Genomic DNA, 17,925 nt, shown 5'->3' with positions numbered 1-17,925 from the left:
CAGGCTCGGCTAGTTTGAATAATTTCAGCAGCCTCTGGGGCATAGGGGCTGTCCCTAGCTCTCTAGTACTGGTCCTGGGCTGACTAGGGGAATTGCAGCTAGGAGTGGCAGAGCCTGATGAAGGTGGTGGTTGGGAGGATGGGGTCTAGCTTGGTTGATCTACATATGACAGGCGAGTTCTTTGCTTCTAGGAATTAGCTCAACCTGGGAGAGGCAGTCACTCCAGGGTCAGCAAGACCCCACGATGTGGAAGTATCAGAATATAGAAACTAGAAAACATGGTTAATTACACTAGGTTCTTGCCAATATTGCTATGCTATTAGGATCCCTGCTCTCACCTCTAGATTTATTCTAAATGCAGAAAAATTAAACTCTCAATTTTTTATGCCACTGTTTTTCAGGTTTCTATTACTGGTTAGGTGAATGCCAGGCCTGTACTGATAATGATCCTAAAGAAGACTCCTCTTTCATACGGCCTAGTAACCGATTCTCAGATCTTATCCATATAAATAGGCTGTTAGTCAAACAAGAAAAATAGCAAGATAAGTAACAGATCCTTCACAGAGTAACTACTCTCATCTATGTGCGTGCACACACACACAAACACACACACTAGTGCGAAAATAAAATGATTTTTCACAGACTTTTTCTGAAGATTGAAGATTTCAAAACAGTCTGAAAAAAAGTTTCAAAAGTGGTCCTGAAGTTAGCTTTACATCAATGCATTAAATATTAACTTTTTTTTTTTTTTGAGATGGAGTCTCACTCCGTCACCCAGGCTGGAGTGCAGTGATGCCATCTCGGCTCACTGCAACTCCTGTCTCCCGGGTTCAAGTGATTCTGCTGCCTCAGCCTCCCAAGTAGCTAGGATTACAGGCATGCACCACCATGCCTGGCTAATATTTTTGTATTTTTAGTAGAGATGGTGTTTCACCATGTTGGCCAGGCTGGTCTCGAACTCCTGACCTCAAGTGATCCACCCGCTTTGGCCTCCCAAAGTGCTGGGATTACAGGCGTGAGCCACTGTGCCCGGCCTAAATATTAACCTTATATGAACAAAAAGAGAAACGAGGATATATGGAGAGAGTAAAAGAGAAGTGAGGCACGGTGAGAAATTGGGAAGGGAGACCTGAGCCTTTGTCTATAGCGAAGGTTGAAAATTCAGCCACCTGCAGGGGCAAAGCAGAAAATGCAAATGAGGTAGCAGGCTTGGGATAAGAAAGACCTGGCTCTTGTTCTCTGTTTTCCCTTTTTTCAGTAAAGATATAGGTAGAAACTAAAATTTGTCTGCTAGAGGAAAAAATAACTACTCAAGCTAAATAATAAATGCCAATTGGCACTTTCCCTCAGTGTTAAGGAGGCCAGGAGGCATGGAGTGGGCACTGGTGAACAGAGTGGGGCAGCCACCGCCCAGCTCCATCAACTGTTACTAGCAATCGGTGTAGGTCGCATGATGCCAGATAGCCTGATTTTTTTTTAAGCTGTAAAACTGGGATTTCTGTTTAGAGACCGGGTCTCACCCCAGTCTGGAGTGCAATGGCACTATCATAAAACACTGCAGCCTGGAACTCCTGGGCTGAAACAATCCTCCCTCCTCAGCCTCTCAAATTAAATTGTAGGTGTGAACCACCACACCCAGCTGATTTTTATTATTTTTTGTAAAGACAGGGTCTCACTGTGTTGCCCATGTTGCCCAGGATAAAATCTGGATTTTTATGTGAAATCTCCAATTCTTAATTGTTGAGATTGAAGACTTTTTTTCTTCTTTTTTTTTGGAGCCAGGGTCTTGCTCTGTCACCCAAGCTGGAGTGCAGTAGCACAATCAAAGTTTTCTACAGCCTTGACCTCCTGGGCTCAAGCAGTCCTCCCAGCTCAGCCTCCCCAGAAGCTGACTACAGACTACAGGTGTGTAGCATCATGCCTGGCTAATTTTTGTATTTTTTATAAAGACGGGGTCCTACTGTGTTGCCCAGGCTGGTCCCAAACTCCTGGGCTCAAGCAATCCTCCCAACTCGGCCTCCCAAAGTGCTGGAGTTACACGCATGAGCCACTGCTCCCAGTTCCTGAAGACAATATTTTGGATAAACGTTCTCTTAGCAAATTATATGTTTCTGCAGAGCAGATACTCAGGCAGTAGGCCATCGGTTTGCACTTCTATTATGCTGAACAAATGAGATAGGAAGCTGTTGCAAAGAAAGGAAGGGGAAAAGCAAGGGGCTAGCTGACAGTAAGAAAGACTGGGAGACGGACAAGGAGAGACCCAAGGTGATGGGATGAAAAAAGAAGAAAAAAAAATATTGATGAATGCGATTGAGAAGAGATTGGGGGCCGGATGCAGTGGCTCACGCCTATAATCCCAGCAGGCGTGAGGCCAAGGCAGGCGGATCACCTGGGGTCAGGAATTCGAGACCAGCCTGGCCAACATGGCAAAACCCCATCTCTACTAAAAATAGAAAAAAAAAGCCAGGCATGGTGGCATGTGCCTGTAGTCCCAGCTACTTGGGAGGCTGAGGCACGAGAATCACTTGAACCCGGACGGCGGCGGAGGTTGCAGTGAGCGGAGATTACGCCACTGCACTCCAGCCTGGGTGATAGAGTGAGACTCCATCTCAATTAAAAAAAGAAGAAGAGATTGAGAAAGAATGAAGAAGAGAGGAAGAAAACACTGGGGCTCAGAAAACAATACCCCAAAGTGTGGCACTTTGGCATGCTGAATACTTTGAACTAAAGGACATTGGGAAGACTCAGAAGCAGCCTCGAAACCAAGATCCCTCTGACCTTCTGCCCCTCCTGTCTCTCGCCCCTCATTCTCTCCTGAAGTGAGCCACAGAAGCCAGAATTAGTCCTCCCTAAGGTCATAGAAACCAGAACCCCTGTTCCCCAAAGCCAGCCATAAAAACTAGAATTATTTCTTCTACTGCTTCCTAAGACATGACCATAAATAAATAGTCTGACCTACGCTTGTCTAATGGTGGGCCATAATGAGAGGTGACAGCGTGCTGGCAGTCCTCAGAGCCCTCGCTTGCTCTTGCCACCTCCTCTACCTGGGCTCCCACTTTGGCGGCATTTGACGAGCCCTTCAGCCCACCACTGCACTGTGGGAACCCCTTTCTGGGCTGGCCAAGGCTGGAGCCCACTCCCTCAGCTTGCAGGGAGGTGTGGAGGGAGAGGTGCGAGCGGGAACCGGGGCTGCGAGCGGCGCTTGGGCGCCAGCGGGAGTTCCGGGTGGGCGTGGGCTTGGAGGGCCCCGCACTCAGAGCAGCCGGCCAGCCCTGCCGGCCCCGGGCAATGAGGGACTTAGCACCCGGGCCAGTGGCTGCAGAGGGTGTACTGGGTCGCCCAGCAGTGCCAGCCCACCGGCGGTGCGCTCGATTTCTCACCGAGCCTTAGCTGCCTTCCCGCGGGGCAGGGCTCGGGACCTGCAGCCCGCCATGCCTGAGCCTCCCACCCACTCAAAGGGCTCCTGTGCGGCCCGAGCCTCCCCGACGAGCACCACCCCCTGCTCCACGACGCCCAGTCCCATCGACCACCCAAGGGCTGAGGAGTGCAAGCACACGGCACAGGACTGGCAGGCAGCTCCACCTGCAGCCCCAGTGTGGGGTCCACTAGGTGAAGCCAGCTGGGCTCCTGAGTCTGGTGAGGATGTGGAGAGTCTTTATGTCTAGCTCAGGGATTGTAAATACACCAATCAGCACCCTGTGTTTAGCTCAAGGCTTGTGAGTGCACCAGTCCACACTCTGTATCTAGTTGCTCTGGTGGAGCCTTGGAGAACCTGTGTGTCCAAACTCTGTATCTAACTAATCTGATGGGGACGTGGAGAACCTTTGTATCTAGCGCAAGGATTGTAAACGCACCAATCAGCACCCTGACAAAACAGGCCACTCGGCTCTACCAATCAGCAGGATGTGGGTGGGGCCAGATAAGAGAATAAAAGCAGGCTGCCCGAACCAGCATTGGCAACCCGCTTGGGTCCCTTTCCAGACTGTGGAAGGTTTGTTCTTTTGCTCTTTGCAATAAGTCTTGCTGCTGTTCACTTTTTTGGGTCCATGCTGCTTTTATAAGTTGTAACACTTACTGCGAAGATCTGCAGCTTCACTCCTGAGCCAGCAAGACCATGAACCTACCAGAAGGAAGAAACTCCGAACACATCTGAACATCAGAAAGGACAGACTCCAGAAGCGCCACCTTAAGGGCTATAACACTCACCGCGAGGGTCTGTGGCTTCGTTCTTGAAGTCAGTGAAACCAAGAACCCACCATTTCTGGACACAATAAGATCCTCATTCCAGAGGGGTCCAGTCCCATACCTGGCTGGCAGAAATGCTACAACATAGAGGCCGAGAAGAATCCGGACAGACAGGCATTGCTGGATTCCTCCAGGAGATCATACCCTTTCTGTCCCATAATGCTTCCACATGACCATCCATTCTTCATCAACTCTAAGCATAAAAAATGAGAATTTTCCCTGTGGGTCTTAATTCTTTTCTTTTTCCTTTTTTTTTTTTTTTTTTTTTGAGACGGAGTCTTGCTCTGTCGCCCAGGCTGCAGTGTGGCAGTGTGATCTCAGCTCACTGCAACCTCTGCCTCCTGTGTTCAAGCAATTCTCCTGCCTCAGCCTCATGAGTAGCTGGGACTACAGGTGCATGCCACCACACCCAGCTAAATTTTTTTTTTTTTTAGTAGAGACAGGATCTTACCATATTGGACAGGCTGGTCTTGAACTCCTGACCTCAAGTGATCTGCCCACCTCGGCCTCCCAAACTGCTGGGATTACAGGCATGAGCCGCCACATCCGGCCCCTGTGGGTCTTCATTCTAAAGGCCACCGTGACACATAAAACTTGGATTCAATAAATGTTTTTCTCTCATTAACCTGTCTTTTGTTAGAGGACCGTGGCCGAGACTTTCATGATGGAGAGAAAAGGTATCACAGAAAAGGTATGCCCTTTTCTGCTTCTAAAAGGGCAAGGAAGATGGAGAAGAAAGTGAGAAAAAGGAGATTTGAAGAGAGAGGAGGAAGTGGGCTGCTATAGGTAGAGGGTGGAGATTTAAAGTCATTCTACAGGCTCGGCACAGTGGCTCACGCCTGTAATCCCAACACTTTGGGAGGCCAAGGTGAGTGAATCGCTTGAGGTCAGGAGTTCAAAACCAGGCTGGCCAACATGGTGAAACCCTGTCTCTACAAAAATACAAAAAATTAGACGGGCGTGGTGGCAGGAGCTTATAATCCCAGCTACTTGGGAGATTGAGGCAGGAGAATCTCTTGAACCCAAGAGGTGGAGGTTGCAGTGAACCAAGATCACACCACTGCACTCCAGCCTGGGCAACAGAGTGAGACTGTGTCAAAAAAAAAGTCATTCAACAGAAAGAGACAGGAATATGCAGGCACTGTGGAGAGAACAGTGGCTCTATATGGTGAAAGGGAAGCCCACAAGTTTTCCAGCCTTTGGGATTCTGTGCTATTATAATTTATATATAGGTTTTAGTCCATGGTTCCTGGCTTATAATTCCCATTGCCCTTGTTACCATCTGTTGTTGTAATGTTGGGTGCTTTAAGCCTCAGAAGCAGGTCTCAATAAACGGAATCTCTCTGACCTTCTCCTGCCCTCATTTCATCTGCTCCTTTATCTCTCCAAGGCAGGAATCTTTGCCCATCTTTCTGTCTTTGACCTACCTTGTCTGACTATAGGTCATAAGACTCCCATTTCAGAAAGGATGCCCCATATCCTGGAGGAAGAAAGGCTGCACAGAGAGGCCAAGAAGAATCTGGACAGGACTCACTGGGTTTCCCCAGTCTGTCTGTTAGTATTAGATCATATCCTTTTTGTTCAATCACATTTTGACATGGTTGTCCATGCTTCAGTCATGCCTGTCCAGTGAAGTCTCCATAAATGCCCAAGAGGACGGGGTTCAGAGAGCTTCTGGAGAGCTGAACACATGGAGGTTCCTGGAAGGTGTTGCACACAGGGAGGACTCGGAAGCTCTGTGCCCCTTCTCCCTGTGCATCTCTTCATCTCTAGCCTTTGTAATAAACCAGTAAATGCAAGTGTTCATTTAACTGAACCCAAAGAGGGGGTTGTGGGAATCCCAACTTGAAGCTGGTGGGTCAGAAGTTCCCAAGGCCAAACCTGTGACCAGTGTGGGTCGGGGGGCAGTCTTGGGGACTGAGCCCTCAACCTGTGGGATCTGATGCTACCTCTAGGTAGACAGTGTCAGAATTGGATTAGAAGACACCCAACTGGTGTCTGCTGCAGATTTAATTGCTTGCTTGATGTGTAGAGACAAAACTCCTCACATTTGGTCACAGAAGCCTTCTGTGTTAATGATTGTTGTGAGTGAGAGAGTAGGAAAAAGCACATTGAGTGTTGTTTTTCCCACACACAGAGCATCACTTTTTCTTTGATAGTTAAATAACTCAGGCCTGCACTTTTCTACAACTACAGGAAGTCCAGGGCCCTGGCTCAGGAAGTGGCGCCATTTCCCTGGTCAATATCACCTCTTGCTTCTCCTTTCTTTCAACACCTCCCTGTGGGGGTCCAGCTCCTTCAGCCCTTCCCTTCCTTTACCAGCTGACACTGGACTAGGGGTCAACACAGCTTCAGTGGAAGCTTGAACCATGGGTAGGCCAGCCCAGAATTCTACAGGGGACAAGTAGAATTCCATACCAGAGATGACATTCCTAAAATAATCTCCATGCAAGGTGCCCTATTCTGGAAATTTCTCACCACCTCTCTGCTCAAGGAAGACATCCTTTCTCTTCACTGTGCTCAGCAATGGGGCATCTCTTTGATCAGACTCTGCCTGAATTTCATGTAATCAAAGGACACATTAAAATGTTTTCTTTCACACAAGAACCCCAGAGGGGCTGGGAACTAGAAGAGCTGTATTCTTTTATTTATTTATTTATTTATTTATTTTGAGATAGAATCTTGCTCTGTTGCCCAGGCTGGAGTGCAGTGGCGTGATCTCAGCTCACTGCAACCTCCACCTTCCAGGTTCAAGCAATTCTCCTGCCTCAGCCTCCTGAGTAGCTGGGATTACAGGCACCTGCCACCAGGCCTGGCTAATTTTTTTTATATTTTTAATACAGACAGGGTTTCACCATGTTGACCAGGCTGGTCTCGAACTCCTGACCTCAAGTGATCCGCCCACCTCGGCCTCCCAAAGTGCAGGGATTACAGGCATGAGCCACTGCACCCAGCCAAATTTCTGTATTTTCTTTTTTAATTTATTATTATTATTATTTTGTTTTGAGATGGAGTCTTGCTCTGTTGCCAGGCTAGAGTGCAGTGGCATGATCTCGGCTTACTGCAACCTCCGCCTCCCGGGTTCAAGCGATTCTCCTGCATCAGCCTCCTGAGTAGCTGGGACTACAGGCACGCGCTGCCATGCCCAGCTAATTTTTGTATTTTTAGTAGAGACAGGGTTTCACCATGTTGGCCAGGATAGTCTCGATCTCTTGACCTCGTGATCTGTCCACCCCGGCCTCCCAAAGTGCTAGGATTACAGGTGTTAGCCACAGCGCCCGGCTTTTATTTTTATCTTTATTTTTGAGGCAGAGTTTTGCTCTTGTCACCCAGGCTGAAGTGCAATGGCACAACCTCAGCTCACTGCAACCTCCGCCTCCTGGGTTCAAGCAATTCTCCTGCCTCAGCCTCCTCAGTAGCTGGGTCTATAGGCATGCGCCACTACGCCCGGATAATTTTTTATTTTTATTTTTAGTAGAGACGAGGTTTCACCATTTTGACCAGGCTAGTCCCGAACTCCTGACCTCAGGTGATCCACCCTCCTCAGCCTCCCAAAGTACTGGAATTACAGGCGTGAGCAACCACACCCGGCCTAGAGCTGTATTCTTGATGATGGAGAGCAGTTTCCTCCTCTCTGCCAGGCCACACTGTGTGTGGCCATCGCATCCTGAATGGTGCTCTAGTTCTTGAGACCTACAGAAGCCATTTCCTATTTTCCTTACTCACCTGTGTATCCTTAGGGAATGTCCATCCCCTGAGGTAACTTGGGTGTTTCTCTGTCTTTTGCAACCTGTGTGAGCTGAATACCTTCACATTGGCTTGTCTGTAGAAGGCAGTCAGGTTTTTGTTTTGCTTTGCTTTCTAGTTGGATCAGATAAGAGTTAACAGAAAATGACCACAGTCTAAGTCACTTGCTCAGTGATCAAGTTGTGAAAAAACTGAAATCACTTTATATATGTGTGTGTGTATATATATATGTGTGTGTATACATGTGTATATATATGTGTGTGTATATATATGTGTGTGTGTGTTTATATATATATATATATATATTTTTTTTTTTTTTTTTTTTTTTTTTTTGAGACAGTCTTACTCTGCCGCCTAGGCTGGAGTGCAGTGGCGCAATCTTGGCTCACTGCAACCTTCACCTGCTGGGTTCAAGCGATTCTTCTGCCTCAGCCCTCCCGAGTAGCTGGGATTACAGGTGCCTGCCACCACACCTGCTAATTTTTGTATTTTCAGTAGAGACAGGGTTTTACCATATTGGCCAGGCAAGTCTGTAACTCCTGGCCTCAGGTGATCCGTCCGGCAGCTTCCCAAAGTGCTGGGATTACAGGCATGAGCCATCACACCCATCCTGAAATCACTTTTGACCTGGAAGTCACCCTTTTTCTGTGCTTCTGAACACATGGCAACCTTCTACCCACCTGCCCAGCATCCTCATGTCCCACTGGTTTTTCCCAAATCTGTTCTCTTCCCCTGCGCCTCCTCCACTCCTGCCGCTTTATCTCCAGCACACGTTCCTCTTCCTCCTCCTTTTTCATCTAATTATCCAACAGATACGTGATGAGAGCCCACGTGTGCCAAGCACTGTGCTGGCAACAGAACAGACGGAGGGCAAGACGGAGCCCCTCTCCAGCCACGGGTCCCTACAGCCTAGCATGATGCCTGCAGTCACAGCCAAGCACACTGCTCACATCTGAGCTCAGCAGATCTGGGCAGTGAAGTGGAGTAAAGTTAGTCTTTAGATGGAAAAGCAAACAGAAATACAGACTGTTATGAGCCTTTTTTGCGGAGGCCACAAACTTAGACGTTTTGAGCCTGGAATCTGATGTCACACAGACCCAAATCCCACTACTTACCAATTGTGTGAACTTATCTCTGGGCCTCTTTTTCCTTCTGGAAGTAACCACCCTAGCCAACTAACAGGTCAAGATGAAATGATTTATTCTGTATAAAGTACTTAGCGCAGTATCTGATGCGTGGTGGTAGGAAATAACCACTAAATGGTAGTTGGCATTAATGATATGGATCTGCGCTAAGAGTTACATGAGCAGAGTAAGACAGGTTTCAATTTCTGTATTCCACTCCTCCCTTCCTCTGCCCACTTCTCCACCCCCTGACCCCAGTCTTTTCCAGTTAGAAAGGTAGAAATTCCTAATGGAAATCAAGAGCAGGGGAGGGGTGGAAACAGGAAACATGGGTTATCAACAAAAACTGGGCTCCAGGACAGGCGCCGTGGTTCACGCCTGTAATCCCAACACGTTGGGAGGCTGCTGGACAGATCACCTGAGGTCAAGAGTTCGAGACCAGCCTGGCCAACATGGTGAAACCCCGTCTCTACTAAAAATAAAAATTAGCTGGGTGTGGTGGCGGGCGCCTGTAATCCCAGCTACTCAGGAGGCTGAGGCAGGAGAATCACTTGAACCCAAGAGACAGAGGTTGCAGTGAGCCGAGATCACACCACTGCACTCCAGCCCAGGCGACACAGTAAGACTCCGTCTCAAGGAAAAAACAAAAACACAAAAAACTGGGCTCCTGAGTGCTTCACACGCGTGAGTGGCTATCCTGCTCCTGAGAAGCAGCTCTCCAACCCCCTGGCCCAAGTAGAGCTGGGCCCTCCTGGACGTCTACAGGATCCACTCCAGCTTGAATCATTCTCTGGACAGGCCTTTAATGCACTCTTCCTCAAGCCCTAAAGGTCATAACTCCTTGAATGGCTGGAAAAACACTGTGCTGAAATCACAAAGAATCCAGGAAAGAAAAACAGGCAGCAAAATGGAACCAAACACAGGGAGTTGAACAGACGTTTATTTTGATCCATGTCCAGCTTTGGCCAAGAAAATAATAAAATGTCCAGGAAAAATCAAGCTGAAGGGAGGGAGTGGGAGAGAGGAGCTAGTAATATCAAATTTGAGACTCTATATGAAAAAAGATAAAAGTTGGTCCACTTATCATAGCATACATACAAAAAGATAAATTCCATATGAGACTTTAAAAAACAAAAACCACACAATATTAAAGGGAAATAAATTCTTCTACAGCTTGGGAGTGGAAAAGACTTGCATAACTATGGCTAAATCTTCAGCTGCAATTGAAGAGAAAGAGTGATAAATTTTGGCTGGGCATGGTGGCTCATGCCTGTAATCCCAGCACTTTGGGAGGCCAAGGGAGGTGGATCATGAGGTCGGGAGTTCAAGACCAGCCTGGCCAATATGGTGAAACCCCGTCTCTACTAAAAATGCAAAAATTAGTCAAGCATGGTGGCGCTCACTTGTAGTCCCAGCTACTCAGGAGGCTGAGGCAGGAGAATCGCAAAAAAACAAAAAACAAAACAAAAACAAAAACAAAAAACAAAACAAACGAAACAAAACAACTATCCTAAGGTAGCATATTATACCTATCAGATCGGCAAAAAATCCAAAAATTTGTCAATACATGTAGTTGGCAAAGCTATAGGGAAATAGGCATTCTAGTACATTGTGACTAGGAATGCAAAATGAGGCAATCTCTATGGAAGGGAATTTGACTGGCTGTATCTAGCAAAATTACATATGCATTTCCAGCAATACAGTTTCTAGGAAACTATTCCAAAACATCACTGGCAAAAATATGAAAAAGTATTTGTGTAGGCTATTTATTGCAGCTCTGTTTGTCATAACAAAAGACTAGAAATAGGCCGAGCATGGTGGCTGTAATCCTAGCACTTTTTGAGAGGCCAAGGCGGGCTGTTTGCTTAAGCCCAGGAGTTCAAGGCCAGCCTGAGCAACATGGTGAAACTCCATCTCTATTTCAAATTTTAAAAATAAATAAATAAATAAATACTGGAAATAACCCAAATGTCTAACAACAAGGGACTGACTAAATTAAATATGAAGTACTATGGAGCATTAAAAAAAGAATAAATATCTCTACATACTGCCATGGGCTGATTGACAGCACCTATTGTTAAGTAAAGAAAGGTCAAACTGTATGTCAATTTTATCCCAATGTTCATTTAAAAAAAAGAGAAGTGGGGAAATCTGGATGCTACTCTATATCTAAGAATATATACATGTATATATTTAAATTTCTAAAAATCAAAAGCAAAAATAAAAGACTATCCGCACAGTGAGTTAGTGATACAATTACAGAGAGAAAAACTGTCTCAAACAACTTTAGACCACTGCAATTTGATTGTATATTCCTAGTGAGATATACCCTAAGGACAAAAAAAAAGGAACTGAAAGAATAGTTTTATTGTGGAGACAAAAGTGGCCCCATCTTGGATGCTAATCCACCATGTCGTCATCTGATTAGCCCCAGTCCCAGGAACGCCTCCTGATTCCTACTTTATTTACTGTCCCTAGTGTAAGAATATATCAACTTTGATGTTATCACACAAATTATAGGCTGTGACGCACATAGCATTCTAGCCTGTTCTGGACAGTTGCCTTTGTCTTGCACTAAGCACATATACTCTTTCCCTATGGTATATAAATAAGCCTTGGGTCTGAGATAACAGTGTGAGATCCACCTGTCTTGCAGCTGCCCAAGAGCAGGCTTCCGTCTGTAAGTTCCCCAGTGAAACACGCTTTAGCAACAAACTGGACTTGCCTACCTTGTTCTTTGGTTTCTCAGCTCCTTTGACCTTTGGGGGCCACTTTGCATGTATGGCCCTTTCATGGAAAAGCATTATCATATTAATGGCGATAATATTGATGTTGTTATTTTAAGACTGTGTATAAGTATTGAGGGATAAAGCAAACGTTGGTGGATTTGGAAACTAGAATATTTGGTTGGGAGAAAAAAACAGATGCAAGTATGTGAAGTTATATAAAAACACTGAGAGCCTCTATTTGAATGGAAAGTATCTTTTTCCTTGATCCTAGAGCTGGTAAAAAAATTTTTAAAAAAATAAAGAAAGTATTAGTATAAACAGACAATGAGTTTATTTTTAAAATATGTTTATATTTTCTTCCCACTAAAAGGCCCTAGAAACAAGAACCAATCCAGCAGCAACAAGCATCTCTGGCAGTCTATCATTTCCCTTCAACTGAAATCAGATCTTCTTAAAGAAATGCTTGGCTCTCAGACTGGGAACGGAAATGTACAAGATGTGCTTCGATATCTGGTCAAATCAGAAACTCAAAAAGCTATCAAAGTCTCTTTGGACTGTGTCAGAAAGAGGTGAAAAGACTCCCACTTGCCAAAGACGGGACAATTTGAGCATTCATAAGACTAATCACTATAATGGACTATAGTGAACTGAAGTACATCAAATATGTTTCAATCCATGATTTCATAATGGTATCTTAAATAATTGGTCACTTGTGAAGGACTCTACGTAACCAACTCAACAACTTGAAAACTGGTAATAAAGAGAAATCCTTTATTCTGCCTTTCCTATAGAAACCATAACTGAACCCCATGGTTGATGAAGCAATTTCTCTTACACAAGCAGTCTACCTAATAACTGAAGAAAGGAGCGAGCAGGGCAGGAGAGTGGGTGTGGGGGAGAAAAAAGAATAAATACATAAATGAAGAAAGAAATAATAGAATTCCAATATTACTATTTTGCAACTCCTAATGAAATAATGGATTAGTCGATGATCACGAATGACTTAGAACATCACCAAAAGAGACGGACACAAGCAGACAGCATGTACCTCTGGGTGAATGTTCACAACATTCCCTGAGAAGGGGCCCTGCAAAAACAAACACTGAACTTCAATCTGATCAGACCTCTAGATGAAATTAGCAATTCACAAGAAGTCAGCGATCAGAGGAGTGTCTTACATAGCACCTCCAGGGTAGAATCAGCAAAACCCAGACTGGAAAGCTGTACAGTACAAAAAAAATCCATTTTCTCCAACAAACCTATTTCAAGAGGGGGAAAAAATGAGAGAGCTAACCTGTACATTAAAGGAGATATAAAAAACAATAATCAGGTCAGGCAAGGCACATCTGTAATCTCAGCACTTTGTCAGACCAAGGCAGGTAGATCGCTTCAATCAAGGAGTTCGAAACCAGCCTGGGCAATGTGGTATAAAACCTGTCTCTATCAAAAAAAAAAAAAAAAAAAAAATCAGCCGGGTGTGGTGGCCCATGCCCAAATCCCACTTTTGGGATTACAAATTATAATCCCAAATTTTGTATTCTGAAATCACACTTTTGGGATTATAGGTGTGAGCCACCGTGCCTGGCCTTCGATCTTGATTTAAAGTAAACTTATTACGAAACAAAATATATGAGGCAGGGTACGGTGGCTCACACCTGCAATCCCAGCATTTTGGGAGGCTGAGGCAGGCAGATTGCTTGATCCCAGGAGGTCAAGACCAGCTTGGGCAAGACAGGAAGATCTCTACCAAAACTACAAAAATTAGCTAGGTGTGGTGGCATGCACCTGTAGTCCCAGCTACTCAGGAGGCTGAGGTGGGAGGATCACTTGAGCCCGGGAGGCAGAGGTTGCAGTGAGCTGAGATCACACCACTGCACTCCAGCTTGGGAGAATCTGAAAAAAATCAGAGACCCCTAAATTCCAAGCTATTTTGCCACTGTTCTGAGCCTAGGAATCTGCTGTTTTCAGTAAAGACCACTTCAGAGTCCAGAACCACAGGGTTGGACCATCTCCCTCCAATTGTCTCTTTACTGATCATGACCACCTCTCCCATTCTCTCCCAGCCTCCCCTCCTACCAGCACAGAGGAGAGAACCAGGAGAGTGGAGGATTCAGCCACCCAGAATGATGTGCAGGCGGGGCGTGGTATTTCACGCCTATAATCCCAGCACTTTGGGAGGCCAAGGTGGGTAGATCACTTGAGGTCAGGAGTTCAAGACCAGCCTGGTCAACATGGTAAAACTCCGTCTCTACTAAAAATACAAAAACTAGCCAGGCGTGGTGGCACGTGCCTGTAGTCCCAGCTACTTGGGAGGCTGAGGCAGGAAAATCACTAGAACCAGGAAGGCAGAAGTTGCAGTGAGCTGAGATAGCACCATTGCACTCCAGCCTGGGCAACAGAGTGAGACTCTATCTCAAAAATAATAAATAAATAAATAAATAAATAAATAAATAAAAACAGAATGAGGTGCAGACAAGAGGTTCCCTGAAAGTGGTTCCAATTCATACTCTTACTCATCTGGAGCATAGATTTTGGCATTATTGGGGATGTCCCCAAATGAACAAGTTCTGCTCATGTGATATGAGTTGATGTTCCTGATCCCAACTGGGCCTGTGATTTGGAAAGAGAAGTGTTTAGGATACTCCTCCAAATACCACCAGCAGCTAGAATAACTGTAAATGATGCACTGTGGGACTCCACTTTGAAAAAAGGGACACTCTGTGTCCACGACCTAGATGCTCCTAAGTCAGAAGAACTAAGAATTAGCCAATATCCCCACCTATGCCTACTATAGTCTCTCAAATCACTCAACCTTTCCTAGATTCAGTTGCTACTTCTGCAATAAGGGATAATATTTTATCTAGACCAGGAACCAGACTAGGATACCTCTTGAGGTCCCTAACTGCTTTGAGCTCTAACCTTATCAGCTACAATACTGGGAGGAACTCCTTATTTCAGAGAACAGAATAAACAGCAGGACCCAAGGAAGGGCAAGAATGGGCAAGTTAGGAAGTGTTGCTGGACATATGAAGCCAAGGGTTGAACCTGGTAGGCAGACACTAATTAAACAAATGTAATACTTACTGAGCTCTTACTACATGCCTGCTGCTAGGCTAGGTCCTTTTTATGCCTCATCCCATTATTACCCTCAACAATCTGTAGGCAACAACCCTCACTTCCTTCTCTCAAAGGAAACCTCACTCCGACATCTCAGGAACATGTCTCTTACGCATTTCGTATTTCAAACACCTGGAAGTTATATGAAATAACTGAAAAGTTTCATGCAATGTGCAGCAAAGATGCTGAGGGACAGCCCAGGTCTAATGTGGAAGGTCTGAGTTCATGGGGTGGGAGGAGGTGGGGGTCAAAGACCTCCATAATACAATGAACAAAGCTTCTTCCATCTTACCTTCAAGCAGCAGCCTATCTAAAAGAATTTGTCATCTTTGCAAAAGACATCCAGAAGATTCCAAGCTTCTCCAGTCAGAGCTTTGTGTTTGACAGAAGCCATGACCAGCCATTGCTCCATTCCCAGTGGCTCATCTGGCCATCTGCTATCTTGGGTTTTTTTGTTTGTTTGTTTGTTTTCAGAAACTCCAGCAAGCAACACATGAATCACATCTCTAAACAAAGGCTTGTTCCACCTCTTACAATTTTATAATAAATGAGTGAGGCTGAAAGTGGGGTGTATTTATTTGCAAGAAGTCACAATGTAAGGGGTGATTATAGAGCAATTGTTTTTTCTCTATCATTTCCTAACAAGAGTCATACCTTGAAGTTTCAATAATTACATACTGATAGTGACACACAAAAAAGAGGAATTTACATGGGAAGCAAAGATGTGAACTATATTACGTGGATTTTTTTTTTAAGATGGGGTCTTACTCTGTCATCCATGGTGGAGTGCAGTGGCACAAACATGGCTCATGGCAGCCTTGACATCCCCAAGCTCAGGTGATCCTCTCACCTCAGTTTTTTAAATTAAATTAATTTTTTGTTTTTTATTTTTAGTAGAGACAGGGTTTTGTCATCTTGCCCAGGCCAGTCTCAAACTCCTGGACTCAAGCAATCTGCCTGCCTTGGCCTTCCAAAGTGCTAGGATTACAGGCGTGAGCCACATATGGATTTTTCTGTCCCCAGTGAAGGAGCAACATTTGAACTGTGTTTACATTAGTCTAGCCAAAACAAAAACAAAAAAAACTCTTTCCCTCACCAAACCATATAATTAACAATGGGGCTTAACTCTGTAGCCACAATCATACCCAGCATTATTTCAGTGAATCAATGAAGCAATAATGGGGCACAGGGCTTTATTAGTTGTCTGTGCCTCCTGGCTATGGAGATTCAGTACGATAAACATGTCCATCTGAAAATTCAGTATTTCTGGTTGCTTCACTTGTCTGTGAAGACCCCTGACATTTAGGGACATGCAGTTTTGCTGAGGCTCAGACACAAGTGGCACTGCCCAGCTGGGCATGGTTGAGTGAGTATGGATGAGAGCTGACTACCCAGCTTCCCAAAGCGGCTCTGCATTTCTCAGCAGGTGGTCTCACAGGCAGAAACCTACGGGAAACACCTTTTTTAAAAAACCTTGTTTCTTTGTGAAAATCGCCTCCCAATAAAGCCACTTGCTTACACAGGTAATAGAAGCAATGAAAATGTCTGGCCAGGTGTGGTGGCTTACGCCTGTAATCCCAGTACTTTGGGAGGCCAAGGTCAGGAGTTTGAGACCAGCCTGCCAAATATGGTGAAACCCTGTCTCTACTAAAAATACAAAAATTAGCCGGGCATGGTGGCGGGCGCCTGTAATCCCAGCTACTCAGGAGACTGAGGCAGGAAGAATCACTTGAATCTGGGAGGCGGAGGTTGCAGTGAGCCGAGATCGCACCATTACACTCCAGCCTGGGCAACAAGAGCAAAACTCAGTCTCAAAAAACAAAAAACAAAAAACAAAAAAAAAAAGAAGTAATGAAAATGTGAAGAGATCTAAGAAAGTGACAGTTTTTAGGAATTGTAAATTGGGGTAAAGACTGGAATTTTTATCTCAATGATAGTTCAGCTCTATGATTCCAGCATAAATGCAGACATTTCGTAAAAGACTAGAGAAATGATTTCAGGAAATGTGTCCAGCCAGCTCAAACATTTCTCACAGAGTACGATACAAAGCTTAAGTGAAAGTAGGAACAGCAGATAACTTGTGGTAAGAGAATACAAACAGGAAGCAGCAGCCTCTCGAAGTAAATATTATTGAATCAGGCCTAGAAGACCTGGGGAAGTATTTATGTATCATCTAATTGGAAGATTTACAAAGCTCTCTAGTGTCTTTGGTAGAGGTCAAGAAAGGGTCGGCTCTCCTTCCTGCAAGCAGGCCGGTGGGATCACTGCACAGCAGCCTCCCTCTCCTTTTAGGATCCCTCATCTAACCCCACACCAATGGATTTTGGGGGTTGAAAGATTCTGGGCTGGGCACGGTGGCTGATGTCTGTAATCCCAGCACTTTGGGAGGCTGAGGCAGGAGGATCACTTGAGCCCAAGAGTTCAAGACCAGCCTGGGCAACATGGCAAGACCTTGTCTCTATAAAAATTTTTTTAAAAAATTAGCCAGGCATGGTGGTGTGAGCCTGTGGCCCCAATTACTCAGGAGGCTGAAGTGAGAGGATTGCTTGAGCCTGGGAGGTTAAGGCTGCAGTGAGCCAAGATCGCACCACTACACTACAGCCTGGGTGACAGAGTGAGACCCTCTCTAAATAATAAATAAAGACTCTGGGGCCGGGCGCAGTGGCTCACGCCTGTAATCCCAGCACTTTGGGAGGCCGAGGTGGACAGCTCACGAGGTCAGGAGTTCGAGACCAGCCTGGCCAACATGGTGAAACCCCATCTCTACTAAAAATACAAAAATTAGCTGGGCTTGGTGGCACGTGCCTGTAATCCCAGTTACTCAGGAGGCTGAGGCAGGAGAATCGCTTGAACCTGGGAGGCAAAGGTTGTAGTGAGCTGAGATCATGCCATTGCACTTCAGCCAGGGTGACAGAGTGAGACTCCATCTCAAAAAATAAATAAATAAATAAAAAATAAAGGCT

At 45.4% G+C, this 17,925-nt stretch overlaps 2 annotated features.

Moving 5' to 3' along the window:
- Positions 7,644-7,813: an enhancer, noted in NCBI's record as "experimental_91437 CRE fragment used in MPRA reporter constructs". NCBI's record gives its function as "activates a minimal promoter by MPRAs in K562 erythroleukemia cells, with activity observed for both the introgressed and non-introgressed 6:30771037 variant alleles {active_cell/tissue: K562}" and the evidence as "EXISTENCE:reporter gene assay evidence [ECO:0000049][PMID:34662402]".
- Positions 17,091-17,210: a transcriptional cis regulatory region, noted in NCBI's record as "candidate enhancer chr6.1563 targeted for multiplex CRISPR interference". NCBI's record gives its function as "positively regulates IER3 gene expression with high confidence in K562 cells {active_cell/tissue: K562}" and the evidence as "EXISTENCE:mutant phenotype evidence [ECO:0000015][PMID:30612741]".

This window comes from Homo sapiens, chromosome 6, assembly GCF_000001405.40.
Source record: "Homo sapiens chromosome 6, GRCh38.p14 Primary Assembly".
Classification (NCBI taxonomy): domain Eukaryota; kingdom Metazoa; phylum Chordata; class Mammalia; order Primates; family Hominidae; genus Homo; species Homo sapiens.
Note: the sequence above shows the minus strand (reverse complement) of the source record. Positions and strands in the feature narration are given on the sequence as shown.